The 16,511-nt window shown below is 43.1% G+C and overlaps 1 protein-coding gene across 3 annotated transcripts in view, besides 3 other annotated features; it reads left to right on the forward strand.

Moving 5' to 3' along the window:
* Window positions 1–16,511, forward strand: part of ZDHHC14 (zDHHC palmitoyltransferase 14) — a 296,968-nt gene that overhangs the window by 58,352 nt on the left and 222,105 nt on the right. The window lies entirely within an intron of this gene.
* Window positions 7,406–7,907: an enhancer, noted in NCBI's record as "H3K27ac hESC enhancer chr6:157867979-157868480 (GRCh37/hg19 assembly coordinates)". NCBI's record gives its function as "activates a minimal SCP1, AML or CMV promoter by ChIP-STARR-seq in primed H9 embryonic stem cells {active_cell/tissue: H9 hESC(primed)}" and the evidence as "EXISTENCE:reporter gene assay evidence [ECO:0000049][PMID:30033119]".
* Window positions 8,309–8,533: a silencer, noted in NCBI's record as "fragment chr6:157868882-157869106 (GRCh37/hg19 assembly coordinates)". NCBI's record gives its function as "represses an EF-1alpha promoter that drives an FKBP-Casp9 reporter gene in an ReSE screen in K562 erythroleukemia cells {active_cell/tissue: K562}" and the evidence as "EXISTENCE:reporter gene assay evidence [ECO:0000049][PMID:32094911]".
* Window positions 15,560–16,451: an enhancer, noted in NCBI's record as "NANOG-H3K27ac-H3K4me1 hESC enhancer chr6:157876133-157877024 (GRCh37/hg19 assembly coordinates)". NCBI's record gives its function as "activates a minimal SCP1, AML or CMV promoter by ChIP-STARR-seq in naive H9 embryonic stem cells {active_cell/tissue: H9 hESC(naive)}" and the evidence as "EXISTENCE:reporter gene assay evidence [ECO:0000049][PMID:30033119]".

Consider the following 16,511-nt stretch of genomic DNA (forward strand, 5'->3'; position numbering starts at 1 on the left):
CATTTTTACACTGTCTGTGGGAACATAAATTAGTTCCAACATTGTGGAAGACAGTGTGGTGATTCCTCAAAGACCTAGAGCCAGAAATACCATTTGACCCAGCAATCTCATTACTGGGTATATACCCAAAGGAATATAAATCATCCTATTACAAAGGTTCATGCATACATATATTCATTGCAGCACTATTCACGATAGCAAAGACATGGAATCAACCCAAATGCCCATCAATGATAGACTAGATAAAGGCAATGTGGTGCATATATACCATGGAATACTATGCTGCTGTAAAAGCAGACAAGATCATGTCCTTTGCAGGGCCATGGATGAAGCTGGAAGCCATTATCCTCAGCAAACTAATGCGTGAACAGGAAACCGAACACCGCATGTTCTCACTTACATATGGGAGCTGAACAATGTGAACACATAGATACAGGGAGGGGAACAACACACCCTGGGGCCTCTTGGTGGGGTGTGGGAGGAGGGAGAGCATCAGGAAAAATGGCTAATGCATGCTGGGCTTAATACCTAGGTGATAGGTTGATCTGTGCAGCAAATCATCATGGCACACGTTTACCTATGTAGCAAACCTGCACATCCTGCACAGGTACCCTGGAACTTTAATAATAATAATAATAATAATAATAATAAAGAACACTTACAACTCAATAGCAGAAATACACACAGCCCAATTTAAAAATGGACAAAAGGCTCAAATAGACATTTCTGCAAGAAGAACCAGCAAGCCAAAAGACACATGACAAAATAGAGAAATTAGTCACTAGGGAAATGCAAGTGAAAACCACCCTGAGATACCTCTTCACACCCACCGGGATTGTGATAACTGAAAAATAAAAGGAACATACAAGTGTTTATGAGGACATAGAGAAACTAGAAACCTTGTACATTGCTGGTGGGAATGTAAAATATTGCAGCCACTGTAGAAAACACTTTGGAGGTTCCTCAAAAAATTAAGCTTAGAATTAATATATGACCTAGCAATTCCATTTCTAGGAATATACCCAAAACAATTGAATACAAATACTGAAAAAATACAAACATGCACATGTTCACAGCAGCGTTCTTTACAATAGCAAAAATGTGGAAACAGCTCACATGTTCATCAATGAGTTAATGGATAAGCAAATTGTGGGATGTTCATAAAATGAAATATTACTCAGCTATAAAAAAGGAATGAAGTACTGATACATGGTACAACATGGATTAACCTTAAAAACAGGTGCTAAGTGAAAGAAGACAGAAGCTATCACATATTTTATGGGAAGTGACTGCTTCATGTGTACAAGTTTTCTTTTGAGATGGTGAAACTGTTTTGGAATTAGGGAGAGTTGAGCTAAGACAACATTGTGGTTATAGCAAATGCCACTGAATTGCATACTTTAAATGGGTAATTTTACCATATATGAATTTTATCTTCATAAAAAGGGAAAAAAACAAACGAAAAGGAATGTGACTTATGGGGGTCTTTTCAGTGTAAACCCAGAGGAAATCTAAGTTTCCAAGATTTCCTTTTCTGTCTCTTTTTTGTGGCTGTGATAGTTTTGTGTCCGTAAGTGAGCCACTAGTGAGAGTTGAAAAGAGGGAACCACACCTTTTAGGAGGTGGAAGTCAGGGCAGAGATAGAAAATAAGAGATAGTGTTTTGTCTGGAAGGATCGCTCATGGCTCAGATTTTTGTAGGCTTTGCAAATCCTCCATTCTGTCCCAGCAGGTTTCCGATCATTTGAGACGAGAGCTCTTCAGCTAGAAGTTGTTCCCAGGAAGACACCAAACACTTGTTCTTATTTCCAAATTCTGTGAATCTGGTTATTTGTTCTCTGTTGCTGTAGCCTCCTCATTGCTCACTGCTTTTGGAAGTGTTAGATTGGCAGATGTGTTGTGTGGGAGTGAGGAAAGGAAATTTCCTATGTTAATTTCTTTCTGACAAGCACATGTGCAAATCTAGACACAGCTTCTTGAACAAAAAAGAAACGGATGAAAGAAAAGAAAAAATCTGGCCAGGCACGGTGGCTCACACCTGTAATCCCAGCACTTTGGGAGGCCAAGGTGGGTGGATCACCTGAGATCAGGAGTTTGAGACCAGCTTGGCCAACATAGTGAAACCCTGTCTCTAAAAAAATTCAAAAATTAGCTGGGCATGGTGGTGTGCACCTGTAATCCCAGCTACTCGGGAGGCTGAGGTGGGAGACTCACTTGAACCCTAGAGGAAGAGGTTGCAGTGAGCCAAGATTGTGCCACAGCACTCTAGCCTGGGCAACAGAGTGAGACTCCGAATCAAAAAAAGAAAAGAAAAAATCAATATTCCTTAGTCCATGTGTGTATGTGTGTGTGAGATTTCCATACAGAAAAGATTTCTGTTTCGTGGAAACAATATTTTAGCATTAGCATTACAGTTAACTCATGATACCAATCTTTTATCCTCTTGATGCCTCAGATTTATTAACTATAGAATGGATATAGTGATGCTTGTTATCCAGCCCTCAGAATAATAGAAACAGTGCTCTGTTGAAGAAATAGATTACATTCATAAAGTTTTTTGAAAACTTCATCTGAGCATGGTGGCTCATGCCTGTAATCCCAAGCATTTTTAGAGGCTGAGTGGGGAGGATCCCTGGAACCCAGGAGTTTGAGACAAGCCTAGGCAACATGGTGAAACCAAAAAAATACAAAAATTATCTGGATATGGTGGTGCACACCTGTAGTCCCAGCTACTCAAGAGGCTGAGGTGGGAGAATCATTTGAGCCCCGGAGGTCAAGTCTGCAGTGAGCTGAGATCACGCCATTGCACTTCAGCCTGGACGATAGAGCGAGACTCTGTCAAAAAAACCCAAACCAAAACAAAACAACTTCCATACGCTACATTCATGAAGTAGGAACTATGGCTGTTACTACAGAATTGCTTTGGTAAGAGAAAGATGAGTCATGGAATGCAAGAACCATTTTCCTCCTGGCTTTCGAAACTCTAAGCCCCGCTCTCCCAGTGTGCCGGTTTGTTGGTGGCAAGATAAATATCACTTCCATTAACTAAAGAGAAGAAAAAGTTGTTTGCAGTCCATCAGTGTTTTGCCTGGGCGATTTTCTCCTGATGTAGAAAGCGTACCCTGGAGGGCACGAGGTTACGTGCTGTTTTGCCCCTGCCAAAGGTGGCCCAAGTCTGAAGCCCGCCCAGCAGACGCCTCCTGAAGAACAATTTGCTCTTCTCCTTCTGGCTCTTACTCAGCAGGTACGCTCTTAGAGGCAGCCTCTGCCACTTGCAGCACCCCTGGTGGATTTTATTTTTTAAATAGCAACAATTCTAAGACCTTTTTCAAGGAAGGCTTTTCCAGAGCTTGATCTGGAACATCACTGGGCAGACTGAGGTAGTCATTTCCTCTGTTACTAGTTTGAAGCCAATCAAGTAACTGCCTGTCCCCAGGCCTCTTGGGTTAGGGTCTGATATGGTTAGACTCTGTGTCCCCACCCAAACCTCAGATTGAATTGTAATCTGAATTGTAAACCCCATATGTTGGGGGAGGGACCTCGTGGGAGGTGATTGGATCATGGGGGCAGTTTCCCCCATGTTGTTCTCATGATAGTGAGTGAGTTCTCAGGAGATCTTATGGTTTTATAAGGGGCTCTTCCTTGTTTGCTCTGCACTTCTCTCTCCTGCTGCCTTATGAAGAAGGTGCTGCTTCCCCTTCCACCATGATTGTAAGTTTCCTGAGGCCTCCCCAGCCATGCTGAACTGTGAGTCAATTAAACCTCTTTCCTTTATAGATTACCCAGTCTCGGATATTTCTTTATAGCAGTATGAGAATGGACTAATACAGGGTCCCACTGCCTGTGTGAAGGGGAGCATTGTGGCAGCACCCGGGGTGATCCTATCCTGAACCCCATCCCTTTTGCTCTGCGGCTATCCCTTGACCTCAACCTCAGCATTCTTTTAAGGGAAAGCACCGTGAGCTATGAAGAAACCAGATGGTGGAATTTTAATAAAACCAAAAACATAAGCCAGGAAACCACTAGACCTGTTCTTTGAATGACTCACAGTGGCTGCCATCACTGGTGGTGAAACCAATCTATGTGGTGAGGTTTAGCACATGTCCAGCTTTAAAATGAATGGCCAAGGGTATTTTCCCACCCAAAGCTAAGATGAACTAGCTGCACATGGATATTCATGGCTCTTATTGATCTGATACACTCTGGCCCAATTGATCGACTCATGTTTGAATCCCAGTTCTGCCTCTTACTAGCTGCATGACTTTGGGTAGTGCCTTACCTTCTCTGGAACTCAGTTTTCCTCCTCTGTAGAGTGGAGATGTCTGCCTTCTAGGGTTCTGCTTCAGATTAAATGCCATAACCCAGATAACACACTTCAGAACAGAGCCTAGTGTACCGTAAGCACTAGTAAATGAATATGGTATTGTTATCTTATTATTTTTCAGAGTCAGCTAGCATTTAATAAATGTTCTATGTGTGCTCAGCATTGCACTAAGTCTTTATGTAATATTTTGTTTATTCCTCACAATGATCTCATGAGCAGGAGGTTAAGGAACTTGCCCAAAGTCAAACAGTAATCGTGATAGAGCTAACAATCTTAATATAAATTAAACTGACTCCAAATTATTATACAGCCTTCTGCAATATTATTAGATGGTCTCTACACCCGCAATGAAGCCTACAGTTAGTGAGCATATCATACTTAATGACAGAATCCCAGGGTACACATTGCAGTCTCTGCCTTTTGTGATTGGATGGGCTGTTTGGTAGCGGACACCACGGAATACACATTGAGGCAGGGAGCTCTGAGACTGGGGAGAGGCTCCAAGAGAACACTCAGTAAGAGGATATACTAGGCTGGGCATGGTGGCTCACGCCTGTAATCCAAGCAATTTGGGAAGGTGAGGCGGGTGGATCACCTGAGGTCAGGAGTTTGAGACCAGCCTGACGAACATGGTGAAACCCTATCTCTACTAAAAATAGAAAATTTAGCCGGGCATGGTGGTGCACACCTGTAATCTCATCTACTCAGGAGACTGAGGGAGGAGAATCACTTGAACCCAGGAGGTGGAAGTTGCAGTGAGCCAAGATTGCACCATTGCACCCCAGCCTGGGCGACCGAGAGAGACTCCGTCAAAAAAAAAAAAAAAGGGATATACTTTGCCCCTACATCCAGGAAAGTCAGTAACACTTTTCCCACCTCAGTTGCAGAAGACATTCTGTGGGCATCTTTGGTAGAAACAGCATTCACATTCCCCACTGAGGGCCGAGTGGAGGGGCCTTCCATGGTCTAGTCAGCTGCTCAAGGATGAGACCAAAGTGGGTACGGGAGGGGTCACTAGTCATTGAAAGGTCAGGCAGGAGCATCAATGTACTGATCAAGGCAAAGCCCAGAAGTGGGCATGTGGCCAGAAGCTGGGCTCAAAACATAACAGGGATCCCAGTGTGAGGAGGCCAGAGTTGAGGGCAGCAATTCTGACCATGTAGACAGAGTCCAGGCTGGGGAAGGGACCACAAGGGAAACACCTGGTGACTCTGGCATGGGTCTTAGCACTGCCAGATATTACACACACACACACACACACACACACACACACACACACACTCTTCATATCTATCTATCTATCATCATCATCATCATCATCATCATTTTATATATATAAAAACCTGTTGAAAATAATAGCTCTGAATTATTGGAGATAAATGAATGTTTCCAAAAGAGATGGAAAGATTCAAAGAGTTAATTTCACCTCTGTCTTCTGCCAGCTTCTTATAGCAGTTTTGATTAGACAAGAGCCATCACGGTTTATTAAAAATAAACAAAGCCAAGATGCGCCAGAAATAGATGAAAACCTGGTTCATTTGTCTTGCCTCCGTCTCATTCCTGTTACATCTCCATGTCATGCAGTTAGTTGTCTGTCCAAAACAGTTTCTATTTTTAAAGCAACAGAGGATACTTTTCAGGCTTGGGTTAGAGAGGCCTCTCTTTGGACCAATGGTCCCTCACGGTGTGTGGCAAGCCCCCTCTGCCCCCTTGGGTTGGTGAGCGGAGAGTTCTTTTAAGCCTAATGTCCTGCAGAAATTATCTGGGAAATCTGTTAAAACAGAGTCTGGTCTGAAAGTGAAACATCTCCTTTCCGCTTTTCTTATGCCTTTAATGGTTTTTTAAACTACTATATTTAGACGCAGAAAAAAAATAACTGAGGCAAGATGGTTCTGGTTTGGAAAAAGCCAGAGAGAGAGAGAGAGAAAGAGAGAGAGAGAGGTTAGGATATAAGCCTAAATGCTATCAAATGCCTAGTGTTTAGTAGTTATGAAACCGAGGCATCAACTTAATATCCTTCTCCCAGCAAATTATCCAGGGCAAAGTCATCGCTGGGGCCAGAACCTTTTCAACAGATTGGACTCGCTACATGGTGCTGACCCAGAAGGGTGAGTCAGTTGGTAGTGTGGGGTGCATGAGGGCCATTGCAGGTTTTGATAATTACCCTTTATTTTAATTTGATCATACTTTTTTGTTTATAACCTTATTCTAAAAATAATTCAAGGTGACCATGCTTCCATTATACTTCTTGCAACCATACCTATCTTTGGTGATATTTATTATGTTAAGGGACAATTGGCATCTTTTGGCCCTTACCTGTAGCTATTCTATCATCTGGAGATTATCTCCAGACACAAATCCATCGCCCATTGCTCCATCGAGGCACACTCAGCTCTTTGTAGTTGCCATTTGCCCCTCTCGAGCCTTCTCCACATAGCCACATGCAATCCATTCCCAAAAACCTAGCTCAATTTCCTCATCACAGATGTTTTCCCTGACCCTCCAGTTGGTATATATCTCTTCCTTTTTTTTTGGTTTTTTTGTTTTGTTTTGTTTGTGTTTTGAGATGGAGTCTTTCTCTGTTGCACAGGCTGGAGTGCAGTGGTTGAATTTCGGCTCACTGCAACCTCTGCCTCCCAGGTTCAAGCGATTCTCCTGCCTCGGCCTCCCGAATAGCTGGGATTACAGGTGCGTACCACCATGCCTGGCTAATTTTTGTGTTTTTAGTAGAGACAGTGTTTCACCATGTTGGCCAGGCTGGCCTCGAACTCCTGACCTCAGGTGATCCACCCGCCTCAGCCTCCCAGAGTGTTCGGATTAGAGGCATGAGCCACTGTGCCTGGTTTATGTCTTCCTTTACAAATTCCTTGACATATTGGCTGTATTACACAATGAGTGACTTGCTAGATCAGTTATATGCTGATGTATGCATGTATGTACAGTATATACACACATGGATATGCACATTTATAGGCTGGGCCTGGTGGCTCATGCCTATACTCCCAGCACTTTGGGAGGCCGAGGCAGGCGGATCACCTGAGGTCAGGAGTTCGAGACTAGCCTGGCCAACATGGTGAAACCCAGTCTCTACTAAAAATACAAAAATTAGCCAGGTGTGGTGGCACATGCCCGTACTCCCAGCTAGTTGGGAGGTTGAGGCAGGAGAATCGCTTGAACCCGGGACGTGGAGGTTGCAGTGAGCTGAGATGCACCACTGTACTTCAGCCCGGATGATGTGATGAGATTCCATATCAAAAAAGAAAGAAAGAAAGAAAAAAAGATATGCACATTTGTAAATAGACATTGTCTGAATATAATATTGTTTTATCTGCCGAAGGTTTTATTTGTGCATTGAGTCTCCAGTGTGGGCCAGGGAGGCCCCTGTTCTGGGCTTGGAGGGCCTTGCCCAGGCCCTTCAGTTGCTGTGTCTCCCTGTGGGGTGAGGCGTCCAAGGGTCAAGTGGGGGCACCTCCTACTTTCTATGGGCCATGCTCTGGGCACCCGGGGGCGGAAACTCCTTGCCCAGAAGACCCTGAGCCCCTTACGGAGGCTGCACAGGCTCTTCCTTGGGTTTAGTCTCCCCAGCGCTACCTGCGCTGCTTGGGGTAGGCACCCCCGGGACTGAGGGAGGGTCGGGGACTGTATGGAAGGAGGATGGGGCGATTAGTGCTTGGACAGGCAGGCTGGGCTGTCCCCTCCAAGTGACAGGGAACAGAGGCAGGGGTGGAAAAGAAGCCAAGGAAGGCAGGGCTGCAGGCAGGGTGAGGAAGACCCGGGGGTCCAGGTATCCTGAATCGGAAGTTGTCCTCCCAGGTTGTCACGAAGTGTGTTTGTGAAGGAAGGAGGATAGAAGCCATTTGGTTTAAGTTTTTACCTTAATTTGTAACCTTTACATATTTAGGTGGGTGATGAGTGGGCCTCTGTTATACTTTTGTCCTAAATGCCACAAATGTTGGGGGCTTTTCACCTCAATGAAACTATAAGCTCTTGTCAGCGGTGTTTAAAAACTGTTGTTATTTTTTTGAGAGGTGGGGTCTCACTCTGTTGCCCAGGCTGGAGTGCAGTGGTGTGATCATAGCTCACTGCAGCCTCAAACTCCTAGGCTCAAGCGATCTGCCTGCCTTAGCCTTCTGAGTAGCTAGGACTACAGGCCCGCACCACCACACCTGGCTACTTTATTTATTTATTTATTTATGTAGAGACAGAGTTTCACTATGTTACCTGGGTTACTTTTGAACTCCTGGCCTCAAGTGATCCTCCCACCCCAGCCTCCCAAAGGTTGGGATTACAAGTGTGAGCCACCACGCCTTGCCTAAAACATGTTTTTATTTTATTTTTTTGTAACTGTAGTGCTTAAGGTCTGACTTCAAGTAACTGAAAGGATGTTTTTGGGGGTAATTTCAGAGAAAAACTTTGTTCTACCATTCACCTTATCCCTCTCCCAAATGAATATTTTTCCTGTCTAGAGTGTGTGTCTGTTGCGGGGGTGGTGGATAAATGTGGCGGATATCTATAAATGTCTAGGTTGAATTCAGCAGCTTCACAGATAATTATATAAAATCATTTTGATCAATATTCAGTTCATCTCAACAATTAATATTTTTTCAGTCTAAAATGTATTATCTTTTACTTCCATATACTAACCCTACTCTTCCCCTCTGTTATCATCTTCCATTGATAATTTCCCAGAAATCAATTATTAAGTGTGCTGCATATGTAGTAGACATAGTGAACAATACATGTGATCTTTATTCAGAACCTAGTTGTGTGCTTGGCACAATGAGAGAACAAATCAGAAGCCTCCCAGGTTCAAGTGATTCTCCTGCCTCAGCCTCCTGAGTAGCTGGGATCACAGGCGTGCACCACCATGCCCAGCTAATTTTTGTATTTTCAGTAGAGACGAGTTTCACCATTTTGGCCAGGCTAGTCTCAAACTCCTGACCTCAAGTGATCTGCCCGCCTCGGCCTTCCAAAGTGCTGGGATTATAGGCGTGAGCCACTGCGCCTGGCCAGTGCTTTCATTTTTATTAGTCCATTTGGTTGTCATAAACTCTTAAAGGGAGACACTATCATCCCCATTTTATAAAAGGGAAAATTTAGGCTCAGAGAGGCCTAGTGGCTTGCCCAAGGTCACACTGCTGTGAAGCAGAAAGGCCAGGCCGAGAGTGAAGGTATTCTGACTTTGAGTGCAGGCCTCTTCACATGTGGCTTGCCCACCTCAGGCACCCAGGACCATACTTTTGTCATAAATAATCACAAACATTTCAGTTGATGGATAGAACTTCGGTGGAAGATAAATTTCCTAGGGGGTGGAGTTAAGTTGGTAAAGAAATGAGATGGCCAGTAGGAAACCTCAGTCCATGAAAAGATTTTTGTTTATCAAATGCATCCATGAGTTTCCCACCAAACATAGGTTGACCTGAAGGTCAGGTAAAAAGAGGAGGGAAAGAGAATACTATACGCGGTATATTATATTAATATTATTCCACTTGCTTTTAAGCCCACTTTTAAAAAATCAGATTTATTGAGGCATAATTTACATAAAATAAAATTCATCCACTATAAGTGAACAGTTGGATGGGTTTGGCAAATATGTTCAATGGGGAAAACGTCATCACAGTTATAATAAGACTTCTGTCCCCCTGACATCATCTCCTGTTCCCATTTGAAGTCAATCCTTTCCCCTTCCCCAGCTCCTGGTAGCCACCCATCTGCTGTCACTATAGTTTTGCCTTTTCCAGAATTTCATATAAATGGAATCATACAATATGCAGTCTGTCGTATCTACCTTCTCTCACTTACTTGAGCTTACTTTTCATTGTTTTTATGTTTATTGTTTTAGTCTCTGGGGCACGTGAACTAGGCTTTACTCTCCAAGTGGAATCAAAGGCTGCCGGAATTCCTTCTGACTTGTTATTGATGGAAAATTCATGCAGAGTTAGTAACCTCAGGCAAACTGCTGCTTTGAATTTTTTCCCCAGTACGTTGATGGGCTTGACGTCAGACAGATTTATGGTTTGAATTGCAGCTTTCCCCCTTTCTAACCATGTGAACTTGAGCAAGTTTAATTTCCCTGGTCTGTCGTATTCTCCCCTTTAAACTGGGGATAATAATAATGTGTACCTCATAGGGTTGTTCTGAGGACTAAAGGAGGTTTTACACATAACGCACTTAGCAGTGTCCGCTATATCATAAGAGATTAATAAATATGGTGATTATTTAGGCACAGACTTTGTATCTGCCACCTGTCTAATCAGAGGACTTCTGCTTGGGATGGATGAGGGGAGTTGAAGGAAAGGGGCACATTTATGGTATTTCTCAAGCCAGACTAGTATGCAGATTTCTTCCATAACAGATTATGAGCCTTATCTTGTGGTGCTTTTGAGACACACGGTAACACCTTGGGTAAATAGTTATAAACATTAACAAACAAATGTGTTTAAAGAGGAATAGTTCTGAATCCATGAAATATGCTGAGCTAAGCATTAATAAAGAAACAATTGGCTAAATTGTTTCATGAACTTTAGAAATTCCTGAACATTCGGGAGGCTGAGGCAGGAGAATGGCGTGAACCCCGGGGGTAGAGGTTGTAGTGAGCCGAGATCGCGCCACTGCACTCCAGCCTGGGGGTTAGAGCATGAGACTCCGTCTTAAAAAAAAAAAAAAAAAATCCTGAACACTCAATATTCTCTGTCTTCATTTTTGTTTGGAATGTTTTCTTTGCAAACGAAAAGGTCTGGAACTAACCAGCCCGTAAATGGATCAACCATTACTTTAAAAAATAAATAAAAACCTAACCAGTTTGTGAAAAAGTCACATATTTACTGCAAGCCTATTGATGCATCTTGAGAATTGGATTTCAGCCCCCATCCTTGGATTGTAAATAGTCACTGGCTAAGGCAAGTGTACAAAGAGAAATAAACTGAAAGCAGCCTGGGCTTCCCATAAATATTATCTATGAAATTCTTCAGCCATATTTCCTCAAGGCACAAATCCGTAGTTGGCCTTTTAATAATATTTTACCTTGATTTTAACTTCTCACTGCATCATAGATGTCTTTGTATAAAAACATTTTAGTGTTTTTAATAATTATCATCAATGGTGGGATAAATTTTGATGTCAAAAGTCTGGTCTTGTGTGTGTGTGTGTGTGTGTGTGTGTGTGTGTCTGTGGAGGCTGATTGTGTTCTTTATGGATGAGATCTGACCGCTTGTCAAGGTAAGATGTTGAGACGGATGGGCTGGGATGCATTTGCCACGCTTATGATTTCCAAAGAAACCAATTAACCTTTGCTGTGATCTTGACCTTCTTCAGAGCTTACAGATGCTAATCCTTGGTGCATCTTCCTTTGATAAATTTAGCACAAATCAATATCAGAAATAATAACAATTTTGAGGTATTTGGAGAAGTGGCAAATGGAAGAATAATAACCTTGTCCATTTTTTGTGTCATGTATTGTTGTCTGGGATAGAGAAAGGTGAAATCTATACCTGATCCTTAACATTAAAAGCAGCGTCATCCTAAGACTATGCATTCCAAAAGGGCAGTGTATCCCCAGGTCCTAACACAGTGCTTGGCACGTAGTAGGACCTTTATTTGATAAACGTTGATTTAACATTTATTTATTCAGTAACCATCCACTAATAAATGAGTATATGAATTAATGAAATAATCAATTGCTGAATCAGTAAAAATTATTATTTTTATTATTTTTGAGACAGAGTCTTGCTCTGTCACCCAGGCTGGAGGGCAGTGGCGCAATATCAGCTCACTGCAATCTCCGCCTCCTGGGTTCAAGCGATTCTTGTGCCTCAGCCTCCCGAGTAGCTGGGATTACAGGTGCCCACCACCACACCTGGCTAATTTTTGTATTTTTAGTAGAGGTGGGTTTCTCCATGTTGGCCAGGCTGGTCTTGAACTTCTGGGTTCAAGTGATCCACCCACCTCAGCCTCCCAAAGTGCTGGGATTATAGGCGTGAGCCACTGCGCTCAGCATCTTGAATATTAATAATGGAAGGTGGCATATATTTTTGAGGGGAAGCAAGAAAGCAGGCCAAGGGAACAAAAAGTGCCTGCTTGGGGTCCCTAGGAGTGGGGAGGTCCCTGGGGCTGTGGGGCCCAAAGGGGATGCTGACAGTCTCCAGTGAGCTCTTATGAATAATCCGGAAAGATGGGTTGGCCCTGTAGGGGTTGGACCCATTTAGCACAGTATTGATAACCTGGTCAGTGAGTTCTGAGGCCGAAGTGATGGTGCCCCACTAGCCCCTCCTTCCAGTCAAACTTGACCTTGGACCAGACAGATTTATAGTCTCTGACCTAAGTTTAACCGGTATTTCCTAACTACTTTCCACCTACACTCCTAATTTCCTAAAGTACCTAGTATTTTTTTTTTTTTATAACTAGACTCACTTGAAAAGACTTCAGTTTGTCCATGTACCACTTAAATCACCTGCTGCATGAATCATCCTTTGGGAAAGACTGGCTTACCCAGCTACAACCTGAAATATCCCACCTTTGCTGAAACTCTTACATCTCCAAGCAGTGATGTCTGTGAGACAGGGATCTTTGTTTTGGAGTATGTTTGTGTTGCATATGTTCTGGTGTGGTTATTGCCTAACAAAATTCTATTTTTTTGGAAGATTCATAGCCTTATGTTTAAAAACAGTTGTGTTCTGTGCAACTCTGTAATTTCAGCCTTTCCTTTTGGTAGAGCTTATGATATCTTAATTTTCTATACTGCCAAGGAAATTGGAACTTAGATTTTATAACCCAAATTGAAAGGAAAGGTGTTTGGCAAATCTCATAAAGATCACTAATACATGGGGATTTTTTTTTTTTTTTTTTTTTTTTTTTTTTGAGACGGAGTCTCACTCTGTCACCCAGGCTGGAGTGCAGTGGTGCGATCTCGGCTCACTGCAAGCTCCGCCTCCCGGGTTCAAGCGATTCTCGTGCTTCCATCTCCCGAGTAGCTGGGACTACAGGCATGCACCACCACACCCGGCTAATTTTTTTGTATTTTTAGTAGAGACAGGGTTTCACCGTGTTGGTCAGGCTGGTCTCAAACTCCTAATCTCAAATGATCCACCCGCCTTGGCCTCCCAAAGGGAAGTAATCCTTTTTAATAAAGAAAATGCAGTTGATCCTCCAGAGAAGAGTAATAAGCACAATACTCTTCTTTTCCCCACCCTTCCCCTCTATCTGTTGTATTCCTTTTTTCACATGACAGAGATTGCCTGTCCTACAAATGTCCTGTTGTGAGCTGGGTTTACTTAGGATAACCGTGGGTGTTACTGACTTGGGTGTCTCCAGGTTCTTAGGGGCAGTTTCTTCAGACAGGTATTCCAAAGGGATCTCTACTTCTCATCTATGTTCTTTAGATACCGAAGACATTCTATCTCTGTATTGATCTTTACTTTGAAGCTTTATCAAATTCGAATGACAGGGTATCAATACCCAAAAAACGCTGACAATCCTAAATTCACCCATCTCAGATACTGCACAATAAGGCTTTAAATTCCCATGAACTGTTAACTTTTTCTGTTCTCTCAGACCACTCTGCAGCTGCCTTTCACTTGAACCATCAAAGGGCTTTAATTCTATGGCCCATTTTCACTCAAACTTGAGTTTCATATTTTATTATTTTCTTCTGTATTATAAAAGACCCTCTACTAATCAGACCCCTGGCTTAGATTCACTAGCTATCCTTGACTTCACCTTCATTCATACAGTGAATGTTTATTGAACATCCTTGACTTCAGTGTCATTCATTCAGTAGGTATTTCTTGAGCATCTACTTTGTCCCAGACACAGCGCTAGGTGCTGGAGGTGCAGCATCTTTCCTTTGAAGACCAGATGGGTGACTACCTGGTCCACCTGAACTTCTATTAGATTTTATTCATTCTAAGGCCATTGTTTTTTGTGTTTTGTGTGTGTGTGTGTGTGTGTGTGTGTGTTTGACCATGGATGACTCCACATGTAATATGTGTCTGCTTTACTTCTGGTGGCCGATACCTTCTTTTTTATTCTGCCTCTGAAAATAAGCCTCCTGATTAATTGGCAGCTGTTGTTCAAAACCTTCTTAATGTTTATCTTGAAGCCTTTAGGTGTGGGGTGTGTAACTTAGGTTGAGATTTGGCTGTGACCAATAGGAAAAATATTATTTTCATAGACAATATGGATGTTTCTTTCTTTCAGGCTAGGACTGGCATGGCAGTGCTGCCCCACAAAGTCCTCAAGGCCACAGACTCCTTTTCATTGTTAGCTGTAGCTGGCCTACATCCCTTTGGTTATCTCATAGTCCAGAACAGCTGCTCCAGCTCCAGCCATTGTATCAGCACTTCCATCATCCAAAACATGAAGGGACAAAGAAATAAGATCAAAAGACATGCATCAGCCATTCTTTAAGCACTGCCTACATATTTTCCTTGGTATGTTCTCAATATTTACTACTTTTAAAGGCACTTGTCTTCTAACATCAAGGAGTAATTCCCTGTTATCTCTCTACTTTATGTTAACATACCACACTCTTTAATTTCAGAAGACTCCTTGCTATGAAATGTGTGTATCCCTAAGAAAAAGAAGAAAAATGCAACATAACATTACTGATTTTAAAATGCTTTTAATGCAGCTTCTTCTTTTTTTTTTTTTTTTTTGCCACGAGTCTCACCCTGTTTCCCAGGCTAGAGTTCAGTGGTGGTGTGATCCTAGCTCACTGCAGCCTTGAACTCCTTGGCTCAAGTGATTCTCCCACCGCCTCAGCCTCCCCAAGTGCTGGGATTACAAGCGTGAGCCATGGGACCTGGCCTTAATGCATCTTTAAACATGAACTGACACAATTTAAAGAGCAAATAGATATAAATGCTCTAATTTTTCTTTTAGCACATAAAAAGCATCTGAAAATTTTGATAGTTTCTGCCATGTTAATGGAGTTATTTAATAGAAGCCACAGGCCAAGCAGTTATTTTCTTTTGTTAATGCTGTATTTGATGCTGACATGGTGTTAAATATTCCTAAGCCCCAGCAGAAGCACAATATTGATTTCAGTTGGACCAGAAAGCATCCTTTTGTGAGTGCCTCTGACAGTCCTGTGAACAATGCTGTTGGTTACTCTGGGCTGAAAACAGGCCTCAGTTTCAGTGTCACCATTTTAACACTCTCATTTATCGCAAACTGACGGGCCCATCCATTCTAGCTGCACATCTGTGGCCTGATGTTTCCTGGGAGGCGCAGCCAGGCCACTTTGAAAGGCAGCAAAAAGCTTTTAGGAGTGAACTGAGCAGGGCAGTCACTGCAGTATCATTGCCTCCCGAAGTTCTTGAAGCATTTCCCAGTCTGCATGGGCAGGAGGACCCAGGGTTTGTGATGAGCACCTGCTGCAGAAAGACTCGGTCTTCCTGAAGATGTGAGGCAGCAGAAGTGCTCTAGAGATGCCTTCACAAGGGCAGAGTGATCAGTCACCATGCCTTAGAGGCAAAGCACTCAGGAACTGAGAAAAGACAAAAGCAGGGGAGGAAAGCGTTCTGGCCTGGAAGGGTGACGCTGGCATGGGGGTTCCTGTTGAGTGCCTTTCCTCATTGTCCTTCCTACCCTGAATGAAGCAGGTGAACCACATGGGAAATCTGTCCAGACTTTTGGCAGACAGTGAGTTTTCTCCAGGTCTTTCTTAAGTCTGGAGGCCCTGATGCCGCCGGCCTTTGTGCTTGCGTTTGTGTTGTTTTCTAGATCCTGGAGTTACAGTGAGCTGGGGGTCCTGTTGAGGGGCTGGTTAGAGCCTTGCAGCTTCCCACCTGGCACACCCCTCGCTCCTCCGGCAGGAACCGGGCCATTTCGGGGACATTGTAATTTTCTTCATGAGGAACAGAATGTGATCTTTCTTACAGTCAACTGGGGATACAAGCGGCTCTTGTTAGAAGGAAAACGACTGTAGAACACAGCATTTTCTCTCAGATAAAGCAGTTAGTTTTAGAAAGGAAATTAGAGAGAGAAAGTAACACGTTGGCCCATTGTGTGTCTGAGCGGCGCTCTGCCTGCAGCTATCTCCGTGTCAATGGCATCCTTTGATAGTCGCAGTGGACCGGGTCACACCCCTTTAATCTGACTTGTGGGGGAAAGAAGAGAATTATCCTTAGGCCTCAGAGAAAGAACAGAGGAAATGGGAGTTTTGCTTTTTCGGCGAGGATTTAGGTTTC

The sequence above is a fragment of the Homo sapiens genome, chromosome 6 (assembly GCF_000001405.40).
Source record: "Homo sapiens chromosome 6, GRCh38.p14 Primary Assembly".
Lineage (NCBI taxonomy): Eukaryota > Metazoa > Chordata > Mammalia > Primates > Hominidae > Homo > Homo sapiens.